Source organism: Homo sapiens, chromosome 6, assembly GCF_000001405.40.
Source record: "Homo sapiens chromosome 6, GRCh38.p14 Primary Assembly".
NCBI classification, from domain to species: domain Eukaryota; kingdom Metazoa; phylum Chordata; class Mammalia; order Primates; family Hominidae; genus Homo; species Homo sapiens.
Genome location: NC_000006.12, coordinates 27298122 through 27315034, shown reverse-complemented (window position 1 = coordinate 27315034; position 16913 = coordinate 27298122). Strand labels below are relative to the sequence as shown.

Here is a 16913-nt window from a genome sequence, read left to right as displayed (position 1 = left end):
AGATTTATACTAACTTAATTCCAGTGAGATATAAAAATCTCAATCCCATATAGCTCTTTCTCCTATTTCTCCCTTTTAATCATATTATTGTTATAAATATTACAACTATAAATATTACAAACCTAACATTATTACAATTATTAATTTATATAATTTTATGTGTTTTAAATAAGGTGAGAGAAACAAAAGGAGAAAAAATTGTGTGTGTGTATATATATATAGCTTATTCTATATTAATCTTATTATTTATCATTTCTGGTTTCTTTATTTATTCCTATAAATTTGTCTTACTATCAGGAGTTATTTCCTTAGCCCAGTGCAGCTTTCTTCTCACCCACCTCCTTTGTGCTGTTATTAGCAGATATATTACATTTCTATACGCTATAGGCCCTCATAGCATACGGTTTTGTACATAATATGCATATTGTTTTGTACAATTACTTTTTGAATCAGTTAAGATAAGAACACATTTATACTGTCTTTTATAATTGCGTGATTACCTTTACCAGTGCTCTTGTTTTAAATGTGTGTTTGAATTACCAGATGGTGTCACCTTCAGTCTGAATAATTTCCTTTAGTATTTCTAAGGCAGGTCTTCTAACAACAAATTCTCTGTTTTTGTTTATGTGGGAATGTCTTTATTTTGCTTTCATTTTTGAAAGGTAGCTTTGTTAGATGTAGAACTTTGGGGTGACAGTATTTTTTGTTGAACACTGAATATCTTATCCCACTGCCTCTGGCCTCCATTGTTTCACATGAGAAGTCAGTTGTTAATTTGTTTAGGGTTCTTCTGTAAGTGATGAGTCATTTTTCTCTTGTTACTTTCAAGATTTTCTCTTTGTCTTTGTCTTTCAGCGCTTTTACTTGACATGTCTGTTTGTGGAACTCTTTGTATAATCCTATGTAGAATTTGTTGCGCTTTCTGGACATGTAGATTAATGTTTTTCAATTAGATTGGGAAGTTTTCAGCCACTCTCTTTGACAATTTTTTCTACTCCTTTCTCTCTTTCCTTTCCTAGTGCTTTCATTTTGTGTATGTTGGTGTGCTTAATGGTATCCCACATTTCTTTACCACCTCTCCTGCAACCACGGTTGCACTCTGTTTGCTATCTCTATTGTTTTGCCTTTTCCAGATTGTCATATATTTGAAGTCATATGTAGCCTTTTCAGATGGTTCCATTCACTTAGCAATATGGATTTTAGGTTCCTCTATATCTTTTCGTGACTTGATAGTGCATTTCTTTTTAGTGTTGAATAATATTCCATTGTATGGTTATGCCACAGTTTATTCATTTGCCTGTTGAAGGACTTCTTGGTTGCTTCCAATTTTTGGCAACTATGAATAAAACTTCTATAAACATTCACATGCAGGTCCTTATGTGGACATTCACTTTAAGCTCATTTGGATAAACACGTGGATTGTGGTGGTTGAATTGTATTGTAGGACTGTGTTTTAGCTTTGTAAGAAATTGCCATACTGTCCTCCAAAGTGGCTGTACCATTTTGCATTCTCATCAGTAATGAATGAGAGTACCTGTTACTCCACCTCCTCCTTAGCATGTGGTGTTTTGAATTTTAGCCAATTGAATGGTGTGTAGTAATATCTTACTGATGTTTAATTTGCAATTATGGTATCTTACTGATGTTTAAATTGCAATCAGAAGTATTTACTGATGTTTAGTTATATATAGCTAAATATTGACATATAGCATATGTCAATGATGTTTGGCATCTTTTTATACTGTTTACCATCTGCATATCTTCTTTGGCGGGGTTTCTGTTTAAATATTTTGCCCATTAATTTTTTACCTTATTATGAGTTTTAACATTCTATGTATATTTTGTATACCAGTGCTTCAGCAGATACATACGTATTATGCAAATATTTTCTCCAGTCTGTGGCGTGTCTTTTCATTCTCTTAACAGTGTCTTTCACAGAGCAGAAGAGAACAGGAGGTGGCCTGAGCAAGGGACTGAGCCAAGTGCTTGTGGAGGGCTCAGGTTCTGGGCCGTAAGATGCGATTTCCCATTCGCCCACTCCGGATCTCTGAGGCCACTCCTGACGGCAATCTGCATGAGTTCTCCAAGTGCGAATAGGAAGGAAACCTGGATTCGGCCGCTGGGAGACACAGGTGGATCTCAAAGGTGGCTGTGCGGCAAATGACTGACACCTACTGGCGGCGTCACGATCTGCAAAAAAAGAGAAACGCGGAAATCCTCAATCAGCTGCTTTCCCGACTGCTAGTGCCACAAATGCCATCCGGGCGGCACAGCCACCGGTCCAGATCTCCAGTCCTGAGCACCTGCGAAAGCCGCCCGCACTCACTCTACGGGGTGCGGATAGTGCTCCCCACTCAGACTCCGGGGATCCCGCGGGCCGACAGATCTGCGCCGGGGCCCTGAGCCGCCTGAGCCTGTACCTTCGAGGCCAGTAATAGTCGGAGCCTGGAAACTGTGCACCCACTCGATTCCAGCTCTGCGCCACTTGGTGAATCCGGACCACAGGGTCCCAGACAGCCGCTGCCGACGCCAGGGGCGAGGCGCAGTGAGCTTCCTCTCGAGTTCCTCTCCCCGCGCCAAGTACTGCAACTCGCTGCGGAGACAGCAGAGGTCTGACCGCCCCGCTGAGGTCTCAGAACAGCAAAGCAAGTTACTGGGACTGCCGAAGTCCCGCGTGTCCCCCGTTCCCGCGGGTGCCGGGCCTGGAGAGTGCTAAGCACCCTGAGACTCGCGCTTTCCTAGCGCGTGAATCCCAACCGTCAACCGAACACTGCGCTCTTCGACTCTGTCCGATTCTGCAGACGTCCGAAACCTCGGAAGCCAAAACCGTGCTTGAACTCACTGCCCGCGCCTCATCTCTCCTCATGGGCAGTTTCCTGAGCAAACTGGAACTTTCGCCCTCGTCCCCAGCCCAGGTGCGCACCGACTTGCCCGAGAGGCCCACGAAACGCCGGCCACCTCAGCCCCTTCACCAAGTTCATCGGGTTCAGTTCGTCCACCGCGCCCACCCTGCCCCACGGTATAGACCTGTGAGGAGGCGGCCAAACCTGGATCCTGCCAATCCAACCACGTGGCTGGCCAACGAGGCCTGGAGGCGCTTTCCCATGAAGAAGTCCCAGAATTCCCCCCTGGGGCCTCTCCCTTCAGACTGGTGGGAAAGTTACTTAAAGCGGACTATTTGGTCTCTTCGACATCCCAGGCCAATTTGGAGCCCAGTGACCATCAGGATCACTCCTCCTGACCAGAGAGTGCCCCCTTCCACTTCTCCTGAAGATGTAATTGCCCTTGCAGGACTCCCGCCCTCTGAGGAGCTCGCAGATCCATGTTCAAAGGAGACAGTGTTGAGGGCCCTCAGAGAGTGCAGAAAAGGGAAAGGGAGGTTGGAAGAACCACTATTCCCTGAGAGTCTGGACAGTAAGAGAAGGAGTCCAGAGACCAGACCATCGGCATTTAAGCCCCTGATGAAAAATGGAACCCTCACTTCTTTTGTGCCCAGGCCTGGGCCGCTGAAGAGAAGTCTCCACTCCTGGGGCTCAGATCACAGCTTGACTAAGAGGCCCAATTGCTCCTCCATGAGCTCCTTGGCCAGCATATACAGAGGTGGCACCCTCAGCTCCAAAAGGAATGCTATTGGCAGCTCTTACAGCTCTTGCAGAAATTTCTCAGACCCTTGGAAGAGAAGTGTTCCCAGTGTATCATTCGAGACACCAGAGTGGCCAATAAAAAAGGAAAAAAGTTGTCATCGGCCTTCCTCTCCAGTCCCACTGGTATCAGATTTTGAGTCCCTAGGAGGATCTGAAAGTTCTGGGCAGCAAAACCAGAAGATTCCACAGCTGCCGTCTAGCCCTGAGAACCTGGTGTCAGAGATCCCACCTCCCCAGCTTGGTTATGCAGTCTCTGATGAGAACTTGACTTTGGGGAAGAAAGCTGAGCTACAGGTAAGCAACAACGCAGGAGAAGATACAACTGAGGTCAACACAGACCCTTTCCCTGAGACTTGGCTTGCTATTCAGCCTTCCTTGTCTCTTGCTCTGCCTTCTTCAGAAACAGATCTAACCCAGGGAGCAAATCCTCAGTTGGAAAACTTAAGAAAAATGCAGAAGTCTCTAGGTCCACTGGCCTCTCCACAGTCCACGGGAGAGGCAACCAGTGTGGCCCATTCTCCTTTGAAGACACCCAGCCTACCGACCCCACCTGGGTGCTCACAGTCAGAGCTCCTTCCAGGCACCTCTCCAGACTCAAAGCCCACAGCTACTTTCATCCTGCTGACCCCCACCTCTCCCACATTACCAGTTACTGACACCACCTGGCCGCCTTCAACCTCTCAGGCTGACAGGTCTCCCATGCCCCCAGACCCACCTGCACCACCCACCATCCAAAGTACTTTGCTTGGAATGGTGAGTAGCCCAACATCCCATCTTTCTGCATCTGCACCTCCTGATGCAACTTCTGCTCACCTCATGTTAAAACCGATTTTGGGGCCCCTGCACAACAGCGAGATTGGAAGCTCCTCATATTCCAGAATTTCAGTCACAGCTGCAGCATCTTCAATCTCTTCCCTTTCCACAATTCAGGGTACCTTAACTCCTACCTTCAAGCCTATCTTTGGCAGCATAGATCCACTTAAAACTACGCCCATGATAGCTCCTTTCTCCTCCAAGCAGACCCCTCCTCCATTTACTCATGCTTCTACCCATCATTTCCATGGCCTGGTCAAGGCCACCTCTGTGGTCATGTCCACCACCCTAGCCAGCACATCTAAAGACTCTGTTTTTAAGCCACCTTTGGATTTTGGTGTAGTGAATGTCACCAGTGCCGTAGGCAACACTTATTCTGTCCCTTCCACTTGCGACACTTTCCTGCTTGGGACTGCTCAGGCCTTCAGGGCCGACTTCACCCCAGCCACAGGATTCATTTTCCCACCACACCACCATCCTACAATTCCTACTGTGCATACAGTCACCATGTTTACCCAGGTCCTTTCCAGTGTTGTACAGATATCCCCTAGAAGCAGCACTGCTAATTTCAGGGGTATGGGCAGCCCTCTGCCTGCCTCTGCCCTAGTATCCACAAACTGGCTTGCATCAACCCCCAGCATCTCCAACCTGACTCCAGCAATCACAAGTCCCTTGGGATCAAGCTCAAGGCCACCTTTCCCACTATCCCAAGGAGCTAATCCCCAGCCTGCATTTGGTGCCACAAATGGACAGAAACAAGGGCCTTCCCAGCCAGCCCTTATGCCAAGTGTCAGTAGTTCTTTTCTTTTTGGGAGCTCAGCAGTGGCATTGCCAACCCCCATGCCAACTCCAGCTCAGCCAGCCTTCATTAGTACCACACAGTCAGCCTTGGGGTGTTTGACACCCTCAGCCTCCACCTCTCAAACCCCTGCCAGCACCTGGTCAGGCATTGGCGGCATTCCAGCAGGTTTTCCCATTAGTCAAGCTAGTACAACTGGGTTTAGAATTGTAATTCAGACCCACCAAAGTGGGGCTTTTGGCTCAGTGTTTGGCAGCAGAGCTCCACAACCTTTCACTTTTGGGGGATTCGTGACCCCTATGGACTGTGATGAGTCTGGGATCATAATGACTGGTCCAGACATGAGCCCCACCTCTGGAGCTTTCAGCATTGGAGCATTGCCTAGTGGGACCACTAACACCATGATCCCCTTTGGAAAAGGCTGGAGCCAGAACACTGAAGGCCTGCCCAGCCACCGCACAGCTTTTTCCTTGGGGAGAGGCAGCATTTCTGCAAGAAAGACTATGGCCCCCATTGCTCAAAACACCCCAGTCCCTGGACAAGCTAAGGCAGGCAGCAGTGTTGGCTTTGGGATGCCTTTTCCACCTGCCCAGGGCTCTGTTGGGAGAGGACCTTTTAGATCATCAGCCTCTTCATTTTCCATTGGCGCAAAATCAAAAACCCCAAAGAATCGGGAGAAAGGGCATTCCCGAAGGCATCATGCCTACAAGAAGTAGCCTGTGTTCCCTGTCACTTGCACCCTGATTTAGACCTCAGTATTGTTTTTGAAAAACCTCAGTGTCTTCCAATTTTCTAAAGTAAACATACTCCAGATCTAAAACTGGAGCTTTAGATGTTCACACTGTGTGTCCTAATCTACATCCTTGACGAAAGTGAAGGACTAAACCATCTAGTGCTGATTGCAGATTGAGGCCAGGTGGAACCAAACCCATTGGACTTGAACAGAACCTCGCCTTCCCCTTCCTGTCCACTCTTCTCTGTGTCAGGTGTGCAGTGTGCACAGCAGCAGGATCTATAATATCCAGACTTTCCAAATAAGTTGAATGTCTATCAATTAGAACATCTTTTCGTACATCCTGCCATCCCTACTGCTGGTAAACACTAACATGTTCTCTGTTACTCACTATAGGTTGTCTTTTAGAGAGTGTCACTTAAATGGAATCAAACAGTATGTAACCTTTGGAGACTGGCTTCCTTCACTCAGCATAATGCCACTGAGATTTATCCAAGTTGTTACTTATATCAATAATTTATTTCTTTTATTGCTGATTAAAAATCCATTTTTAATTGTGTTCAGTTGTATGAGTATACCACAGTTCATTTATCCATTCACCTGTTGAAGAACATTTATTTCCATTTTTTTCTCAAAAATAAATAAAGTCACCAGAAACATTCATGTTCAGGTTTTTGTGTGAACATATGTTTTCATTTCTCTAAGAAAATTTCTGGGAGTGGTATTGCTGGGTCATATAATAAGTGTATATTTAACCTTATGAGAAACTGTCAAACTATTGAGTTAATGACAATCCTATGAGGTAGGCACTGTTTCAGTCATTATTTTGCAGATGGGGACAGAACAATGAAGAAGCCAAGTAGCTTGCCTAAAGACACACAGTGAGAAAGTGACAGAGGCATGAATTGTGTCTAGGGTGTTGGCAAGGATGCAGAGAAAACATTGTATGTTGGTGGTAGAAATGTAAATTAGTACACCCATTATGGAAAATGGTATGAAAGTTCCTCCAAAAACCAAAAATAGAACGGCCATATAATGCCCCAATCTCACTTCTGGATATATATTCAAGGAAATTGAAGTCAATGTGTTGAAGGGATATCTGCACTCCCATGTTTATTGCAGCATTATTCACAACAGCCAAGATATGGCATCAACCTAAGTGTCCATCAATGACTGAATGGACAAAGAAAATGTGGTATAGATACACAATGAAATATTATTCAGCCTTAACAAGAAGGGAATTCTGTCATTTGCAAAAATGTGTAAGATGAACCTGGAGGACATCATGCTAAGTGAAACAAGACAAGCACAGAAAGCAAATACCACATGATCTCACTTACTTGTGGAATCTAATGTAGTTGAACTCGTAGAACTAAAAAGTAGAATGTGGTTACTGGGGTTGGGGGAGAGGAAGGGAATGAGCTGTTGGTCAAAGGGTACAAAGTTTCAGATAGGAGGAATAAGTTTTGAAATACATTGCACAGCAAAGTGACTATAAGTCAACAAAAATGAATTGCCTATTTCAAAATAAGAGGGTAAATTTCAAATGTTCCACCATAAAAAATAATAGGTAATTCAGCTCATCTGGGTATGAAAAAATAAAAGATAGGCAAGGGAATATATCCAGCATGTGATTTAATTTAATTAACTAGCTTGATTTAATCTTCCATACTGTACACATATATCAAAACATCAAAACATCACACTGTACCTCATAAATGTAGATAATTATGATTTGTCGATGAAAAATAATATTAAATTTTTTAAAAAGAATTGTTGCTAGGTAGTTTGGCTCCAAAGACTGTGCTCCTCACCCCTCACTATGGGACTTTCCTGGAGTGCAGGATAGTGGTAAAAGTATACTATAGTCCAAATCTAGGCTGACATGTAGCTCACCTCACATAGGAAAGTTTCTCAACCACTCTATGACTTTTACCTAATTATGAAGACAATAATAGAGAATAGCTCATAGGAAAATTAAGCATGTTAAGCCCTTAGACTAGTATTTGTACACAGGGAGGAGACAATGCCTCTCAGCTGATAGTACATTCCACGGTCCTCTTTCTGGACACCCAACACCTGTGATGTCTTTAACTTTCCTCAGTGTAGAAAGTGTGATATAAATGTGGACGATTTTCAATCTACACCTGGAAGGCAGTCATTTTCCTAGTCAAGAGTTCATAATCTAGGAATGGTCCAATTGCTTCAGCTCTCTTTTCTGGATCAATAGCAGACACTAGCTAGTTAGTCTAAAGAATGTCAAAAATGTGTTTACAATGGTAAAATTAGTGATATATTAATCAATGGACATTGAAAAGAGGTCATGATAAAAATATATGGTATACAAGATGCGGGCTAGCTACACCAGCCATAGTCCAACAAAATATAACACAAGCCACAGATGTGAGCCAGGTATATAATTTTAAATAGCCTAGAAGCCACATTAAAGAGTAAATAAATGGGTGATATGTATTATCTAATATACTCAAAATATTATTTTAACATTTAATTAATTTGAAAAAAATTATCGTTGAGTTTTTTTTCACATAATGTGTGCAAAATCTGTTATGTATTTCACATTTACATCACATCTCAATTAAGTCCAGCCACATTTCTTTCCTTCTTTTTTTTTGGTTAGAGACAGGGTCTCACTCTGTCATCCAGGATGGAGTGCAGTGGTGTGATCTTGGCTCACTGCAGCCTCGACCTCCCACGCTCGGGTGATCCTCCCACCTCAGCCTCCCAAGTAGCTGGGATTACAGGCATGCTCCACCATACACAACTAATTTTTTTGTAGAAACGGGGTTTCACCATGTTGCCCAGGCTAAGTCTAGCCACATTTCATGTGCTCAATAGCCACTGCAGATAATAAGTACATGAATAGTGCAGGTCTAAATGTTTTAGAGATGCTTCTTATCCTGCATCAGCACAGCATAAGAATATGGCAAGACTTACAGCTTGCTCCCTTAAGGAGGGCACCCCAGGTTCAATCCTCAAAGATTCTGTGTTCAGCAATTATATTACAAGTCTTCTTATTGGCTGGTACCCTAGCATAAGGAAACAGAATAACTCCCCTTGAATGTTGTTGTGTTTACTTCAAGTGAAAGTTTCAAGCAAGATATGACTGGATTCTCTAAAAGAGAGAATGCTGGAATTTAATAAAATTAAAGGACTGGTTAAAGAATAGCTATAAATTGTTTGGTGCCTTTTTATGTATGTCTGTATGTCTACCTATCTGTGGGCTTGTGCGTGAGCATCTGCCTTTATGTGTTGATTTCCCCACCAGTAGTTTTAACTGACTTCCCCACCATTGCCCCAGAAATAGTCTGACTCTCTTTACTCATTTTCCAGGGACCTCAAGATATAGTCTCTGCTCCACTCCTGGACTCTCATAGTTAGTACTGCACTTGCCCAACCACTGACAACAATGCATAAAAGGAAGCCAAAAAGGAAAGTATGCGGTTGGCCGGGCGCGGTGGCTCACGCCTGTAATCCCAGCACTTTGGGAGGCCGAGGCGGGCGGATCACGAGGTCAGGAGATCGAAACCATCCTGGCTAACACGGTGAAACCCCGTCTCTACTAAAAATACAAAAAATTAGCCGGGAGTGGTGGCGGGCGCCTGTAGTCCCAGGTACTCGGGAGGCTGAGGCAGGAGAATGACGTGAACCCAGGAGGCAGAGCTAGCAGTGAGCCGAGATCGCACCACTGCCCTCCAGCCTGGGCGACAGAGTGAGACTCCGTCTCAAAAAGAAAAAAAAAGAAAAGCATGTGGTCTTCATGCAGTAGTTGCAGCCAGCCACAGAAGAGACCTGTGCCCACTGGGGAGATCTTTCTTTGCCTCTGAAGTCTAGACCTATGGTCCAAACAGACACGTTTTCCTGAATATTGAATGAATTAGCACCTCAATTAAACAAGAAATATTTCTTAGTTTTCTGGAGCTCCTTTTAATTTCTTTTTTTTTTTCTTTTGGAATTAATACATTAAAAGGAAACTTTCTTCTTATTTGGGAGAATGCTTTCAAAATCTATCAGAGCCAGTACCCCTATTAGGTCTATCATTCTGTCATACATTAGGGGTTATAAACAATCCTGCCTTCCTGGGAGGAGAACAAGGCTCTGCGAAATAGTGTTTTGCATTGAGGGAGTGTTATCTGCGGAAGGCAGAGCTCAGCGTACTTTTTCCAAACAGTGCTAGGAATTTCCTCCTGCTCCTACGGACCACTTCATGGCTCTACAACTTTGTTTAGGAAGTTGTCCTCTGGTCACTTTTGCCTTAGCTCCCTGAAGTATATTAGAACATACTTCCTTTTTCTTGCCTTCTTTCTTTCCTTTCTTCATTTCTGCTTTCACTTTTTTCAGTACTTTATTGAAGTATACTTTACATACAATAAAATGTAAAAAAAAAAGTATAGATAGAGCTCAATGAATTTTATATATGTATAATTTCATGTAATTATGAAATTACACCATCCAGATCAAGATTGAGAAAATTTCCAAATTTCGTTGTGTTACCTTATCAAGTCAATACTGCATCCTGTAAGCTAAGTACTATTCTGACTTCTATCACCAGATGTTAGTTTGCCTGTTCTTGAACTCGACAGAAGTGAAATCGTAGAGTATATCCCATAGTGTGGCATTTTTGCACAACATTATGGTTTTGAGATGTATTTATGTCATTTTAAGGTTTATTTGGGTCGGGTGCGGTGGCTCATGCCTGTAATCCCAGCACATTTGGAGGCCGAGACGGAAGGATTGCTTGAGCTCAGGAGTTCAAGACCAGCCTGGGCAACATAGAGAAATCTCCTCTCTATAAAAAATACAAAAACTTAAAAAAAAAAAAAAATTAGCCGGGTGTGGTGGAGCGCGCCTGTAGCCCCAGTTACTCGGGAAGCTGAGGCGGGAGGATAGCTTGAGCCTGGGAAGCAGAGGCAGAGGTTGCAGTGAGCCTAGATGGCATAGCTGCCCTCCAACCTGGGTGAAAGTGAGACCATGTCTCAATAATAATAATAATAATAATAAATAAAAACATTTATTTGTATTAAAAGAGTACTTGTATTGTCACAGAAATTCATTCTTACAGCTAAATAAGATTCCATTTTATAAATAAACCAGAATTTGTTGGTATGAGGAAATATGAGCTTATTGATTATCATCTTAGGAAGAAAAGTAGAGTGTTTTCTCCGTGGGCAGAGTGGTGCAGCGGAAGCGTGCTGGGCCCGTAACCCAGAGGTCAATGGATCGAAGCCATCCTTGGCTAGGGTGTTTTTCTTAATGATCACCGTTTCCCGGTACCATGATATAATTAAGAAAATCAGATTCTCAACGTCTCCTTACTTAACCTCTTAAAATTAGTTACTACTCCACTGCCCAACTTTTATAAAGGCGTTAATCGTATTCTTTTCTCATCTGTTCTTGCAATACCTTCCCTTATCGCTCATTTCAAAAGAGAGATGACAAATTTAACTTTAATTTCCAACGGATCCGCGTTCTGTCTTCCAGTGAATAGAATACACACCTATCTTTGGTATGTTATGGTTTTATAATTTTCGTACACGCGAAGGAAAAGCATTTTTTACTTCTGCTCGATAACTATACAGTCGTCCTTTGGTATCTGTGAAAGGTTGGTTTCAGGACCTCCTGCGAATAGTAAAATCTACCAGTGCTCAAGTCCTTGATATAAAATGATCGAGTATTTGCTTATAACCTATGTACACCTTCCGGCATACTTTAAACCATTTCTAGATTATTTATCACACCTTATATCAGGGGTCCCCAACCTCCCGGCCGCGGATCAGTACCGGTCCCGTCCGTGGAAAAATTGTCTTCTACTAAACCGGTCCCTAGTGCCAAAAAGGTTGGGGACTGCTGTCTTACGTGATGCAAATGCTATGTAAATAGTTGTTATATTGCACTGTTTAGGGAATAATGACAAGAAAATTTCTGTACATGTTCGGTATAGACGCAGGGTTTTTCAAGTATTTTAGATCAGCAGTAGGTTGAATCCATTGCATGCAGAACCCATGGTTACGAAGGGCCAGCTGTTCTGCATTTTTACTTGGGTTAGACTCTCTTGCTCACTGTCACTCCTTTATACGCTTCCGCACATGATTTGTAAACTTTAGATAAAGTTAATGAGAAAGCTTTGTGAATTCTTCTCTAAAGCAATATATGTTAATCATGAAGACACCATTTTTATCCCCATATACATAAACTAGAGTCATTTGGACTTTATGGGGAAAACAGAAACAAGTTAAATTTGAAATGCTAGGAAGGAAAATGGAATGTCGTAAAAATTTTTTAAGTTTATGCTTCAGGATTCAATAGCAAAATCGGAAAGGGGAGTCTTGGTAAGATATTTGCAATTTTTGTTGTTGTTGTTGAGGAAATGGGGTATTTGGGACTACAGGCGCGCACTGCCACGCCCACCTAACTTTTTTTTTTTTTTTTTTGAGACGGAGTTTAGCTCTTGTTGCCTAGGCTGGAGTGCAATGGCGCGATCTCGGCTCACTGCAAACTCCGCCTCCCGGATTTAAGCAATTCTCCTGCCTCAGCCTCCCGAGTAGATGGGATTACAGGCAAGCGCCACCACGCCTGGCTAATTTTGTATTTTTAGCAGAGACGAAGTTTCACCATGTTGGTCAGGCTAGTCTCCAACTCCTGACCTCAGGTGATCCGCCCACCTCGGCCTTCCAAAGTGCTGGGATTACAGGCGTGAGCCACCGCGCCAGGCCTATGTTTTGTACTTTCTGTAGAGACAGGGCTTCGCTATGTTGGTCTCGAACTCATGGACTCAAGCGATCCGCCCGCCTCGGTCTCTCAAAGTGCTGGCGATTGCAGGAATAAAACCCCCGCGCCCGGCCCTAAGAAAAAAATTTAAATTAAAGCCCTCTTTAGTGAGTCGTTACATATGGCAAAAGCAAACAAAAAAACAAAAAAAGTATATAAATTATTCTAAACAATGAGCACCCTAATTAATGAGCATTTACACACAAAAAAATGAATCGGACAAACGGAAATAAGATGATGAGGGGAACATGTTTTGTTCCTTTAATCTTGCTGCTTTGAAGATGTTCTTATCTGGAGACCCCCTAGGCCTACAATCTTCAATTTATTTTTACCCACTGACTCCCAAATGCATTTTGACTAAATGTCATAGGAGATTAGTTTATACCTACAGTGCGTGTACACATGGGGATACTGTGAAACAGAGTGAATAGGGACGATATCTATTAACTTATACGGAGCAATTTCCAGAAGACATTAAATGAAGAAAAAGCAAAATGCAAAGGAGTATTTATAGTACTATATTACTTTCTGAAGTGCAAGAAAAAAGGGAAAATAAGAAGGCAGACATGTAGAAGGAGGATAAATCAGGAAGCAATGAAGTCAGTTATCTAGAAGTGTAGTGGTTGCCGGACGCAGTGGCTCACACTTTTAATCCCAGCCCTTTGGGAGGCCAAGGCGGATCCTTGAGATCAGGCGTTTGAGACCAGCCTGAGAGAAAGGGCAAAATCCTGTCTCTACAAAAAAATACAAAAAATGAGCTATTCTGGAGAGGTGGGAGGGTGACTTGAGCCTCAGAGAGGTGGAGATTGCCGTGAACTGAGATCACGCCACTACATTCTAGCCTGGGCTCATACTCAAGTGAATACCAAACCATAGTATACAAAAAGAAAGAATCAGACCATGTTACTTTTAACTTGGGGCAGGACGAGAATTACAAACAAATCTTGGACTCTTTTTAATCGATTTTGTTTTCTGTTGTAATGTGGACAAAGCAATTTTGAAGCAATTTTAGGTGTATTATAGGATAGGGCACATGACTAAATGTGTTGATTTACTCGTTTGAGTAAATCATTTCAGCCGCTATTCTAATTGCAGAAGAGGATTATACAAATAGGTGATGGTGGGAAGGCAAAAAAAAAAAAAAAAAAAAAAAAAATGCTCCTCAGGGGATACATTAGAATTGTAAATATCCGGCCCGGCGCGGCGGCTCACGCCGGTGCCGGTAATCCCAGCACTTTGGGAGGATGAGGCGGGTGGATCACCTGAGGTCGAGAGTTCAAGACCAGCCTCACCAACATTGAGAAACCCCATCTCTACTAAAAATACAAAATTAGCTAGGGGTAGTGGCACATGCCTGTAATCCCAGCTACTCGGGAGGCTGAGTCAGGAGAATCGCTTGAACCCGGAAGGTGGAGGTTGCGGTGAGCCGAGGTCGCACCATTGCACTCCAGCCTGGGCAACAAGAGAAAAACTCCGGCTCAAAAAAAAAAAAAAGTAAATATCGTTGGGTACTCATAATTATTAAAATACGCATATGTATGTGCATAGGCATGTATATGTGCACATGTACATATATGTGTGTGTGTATTTACATATTATGTATGTGTGAGTATACACGTGTTTCCTAGATATTGTTGATAAAATGTTCTAGAAGCAAAGGTGCCTTAGAAACAGTAAATACACCTAGACCCTGGATATTGGTCTCTAATACATTCCTCATTAAAAGAGCACCACTAAGAAATAGGAGACTTCAGGACTGGGACAGGGTAAATGCAGTAGAGCCTAGAACAATTTGTTATGCCAGAAATTAAGAAAGTTTAAGAAATATGGTGGAAGAATGTCAAAAGGACAGAGTACTCAGCTTGAAGGGTCTGCCTCTGACACAATCTGGGTTATATGGACTACCAAAGTTATTAAAGGCAATAATGGAATTGTAAACCACTGAAAAATAAGATTTTATAAGTCCATACTGATAATAAATACATAAATAGATGTTAAAGGGGGACTCTTTTTATTTATTTTATTTTATTTTTTTGAGACAGAGTCTCACTCTGTCACCCAGGCTGGAGTGCAGTGGCGCAATCTCGGCTCACTGCAACCTCCACCTCCCAGGTTCAAGCGATTCTCCTACATCAGCCTCCCGAGTAGCTGGGACAACAGGCTCCCACCACAATACCCGGCTAATTTTTTTTTTCTTGTATTTTTAGTAGAGATGGGGTTTCACCATATTGGCCAGGCTTGTCTTGAACTCCTGACCTTGAGATCGGCCCGCCTCGACCTCTCAAAGTGTTGAGATTACAGGCGTGAGCCACAGCCCCCGGCCAAGGGGGATTCTTGATTACAATAGAATGCCAAAGTAAAAACTGGTAAATGTGAAGAAAATTCTGGAGTTGAAAAAAAACACCATTTTGCAACCATCATAGTAAATATGGTTCAAGTAGGAATTATCAATAGATGCTAACTCTAGAGGAAAATTTTGATGGGGAGCAAGTTATTTGTATGATCTTTAAGCATCTCCCGCAGATTGCTTATTAGTTGCAAGGGGGAAACTATACACATATATCAACTTGACTGTGTGATTGGAATTAACCTCAGCAATGAGGGGCAATGAACATTGCATGTCTCCAGATTTAATAGTCCTGAGAACGACATGCCATGTACATTCTATTCTCTGGGATGCATAATGTGAACCCAATTATGAGGGTAGAAAATCACGCAAAGCCCAAATAAGAAATGTTCTATGTTTTAAAAATGTGAGCAGTTACCAGGTTCTTCAAAAAGTCAATGTCATAAAATACAAAGAAAGATGTGAAAATGTTCCAGGTTAAAGGAGACTAAAGGGATATGGAAAACACCCAATTCTAGACAGATTCCTGAACTGGAGGGGGTAAATACTATAAAGGATATTACTGGCCAATTGAAAAAAATGGAATACAGGTTAGAAAATTCATAAAAAATTATATTAATGTTAAATATACTGAATTGGTAACTATATTATGGCTATAGCACAAGAAAATATTCCTTTAGGAAGTACTCACTTAAATATTTAAGGGCAAAGGAACATAATATATATAATTTACTCGTAAATGTTCTGGAAGACACACACACAAACATACACAGATATAAACACATACAGAGAGAGAGAATGAACGTTAAAAGTGAATCCTGATAAAAGGTATATGGGTGGTCTTTATACTATTCTTATTCTTAATTTTTTCCCTTAAGTTTGAAATTATTTCCGGGTGAAAAGTTTAAAAAGGCTGAGCGCAATGGCTCACGCCTGTAATCCCAGCACTGTGGGAGGCCGAGGTGGGTGGATCACCTGAGGTCAGGAGTTCGAGACCAGTCTGGCCAAAAAGGCAAGACCCTCGCCTCTACTAAAAATGCAAAAATTAGCTGGGCGTGGTGGTGGGCGCCTGTAGTCCCAGCCACTCGGGAGGCTGAGGCAGAAGAATCGCTTGAACCAGGGAGGCAGAGGTTGCAGTGAGCCGAGATGGCGCCACTGCACTCCAGCCTGGTCGACAGAGTAAGATTCTGTCCAAAAAAAAAATATATAAAAAACATTTTAGTAAAAATTTGAGGAAGTAAAAAGATTTAGTATAACGAACATTCAACTTCCCATCAACCAGCTTAAACAATTAACAACATTTTGTAATGTTGTTTTCTCTGCTGCTCTCCAACACCAACTAGTATTTTGAAGCAAATCCAAGACAGGAGATTCCAAAGCACTTTACTTGGACAATAAGCAAAGGTACAAATTACTCGTTCATATGTAAATAGAAAGGAAGGTGACACACAAACTTCTGTTAATTGTTCGGAGAAGGAGAGGTTATCAGTGTCTGACCAACGCCTTTGGTTCTTTCGCTTTGCAACATGAGGCACTATGTGAGTGGAGCAAGGGATCCATTGCACCATGCGGACATCTTGGCTAAGAGCCCTTCAGGTGCAGGCAATGCCCGCAGCCCACGTGCCGGATGTAGTAAATTGTAATCTAAGAATGGAGAGTAATTCCACTCAGATCCTCAAGAATTCCTTTGAACCTCAGGAGGAAATAAAACTGATAGATGGTCGAGAGAAATGAGAGGAAGCAAAAGGAGGAAAGCTGTAGATAATCTATATAACTTTTCTGAGAGCAACT

General features: G+C 42.6%; 2 protein-coding genes across 2 annotated transcripts, besides 1 other annotated feature; one reads left to right on the top strand and one right to left on the bottom strand.

The window, feature by feature from the left end:
- Positions 1-1298: 1298 nt before the first annotated feature.
- LOC105375107 (uncharacterized) lies at positions 1299-2866 on the bottom strand. Its single transcript, XM_011515048.2, has 3 exons — positions 2843-2866; positions 2421-2712; positions 1299-2190 (listed from the first exon to the last, which is right to left on the bottom strand). Exons 1-3 carry the CDS (start codon positions 2864-2866, stop codon positions 1823-1825), a joined length of 684 nt encoding a protein of 227 aa, XP_011513350.1. The 3' UTR covers positions 1299-1822.
- Positions 2411-2705: a silencer, noted in NCBI's record as "tiled region #151; K562 Repressive non-DNase unmatched - State 7:EnhWF". NCBI's record gives its function as "represses a minimal TATA promoter and a strong SV40 promoter by Sharpr-MPRA in K562 cells {active_cell/tissue: K562}" and the evidence as "EXISTENCE:reporter gene assay evidence [ECO:0000049][PMID:27701403]".
- POM121L2 (POM121 transmembrane nucleoporin like 2) lies at positions 2762-6658 on the top strand. The gene has a single exon (NM_033482.4). It carries the CDS (start codon positions 2865-2867, stop codon positions 5970-5972), a length of 3108 nt encoding a protein of 1035 aa, NP_258443.2. The 5' UTR covers positions 2762-2864; the 3' UTR covers positions 5973-6658.
- Positions 6659-16913: the final 10255 nt, after the last annotated feature.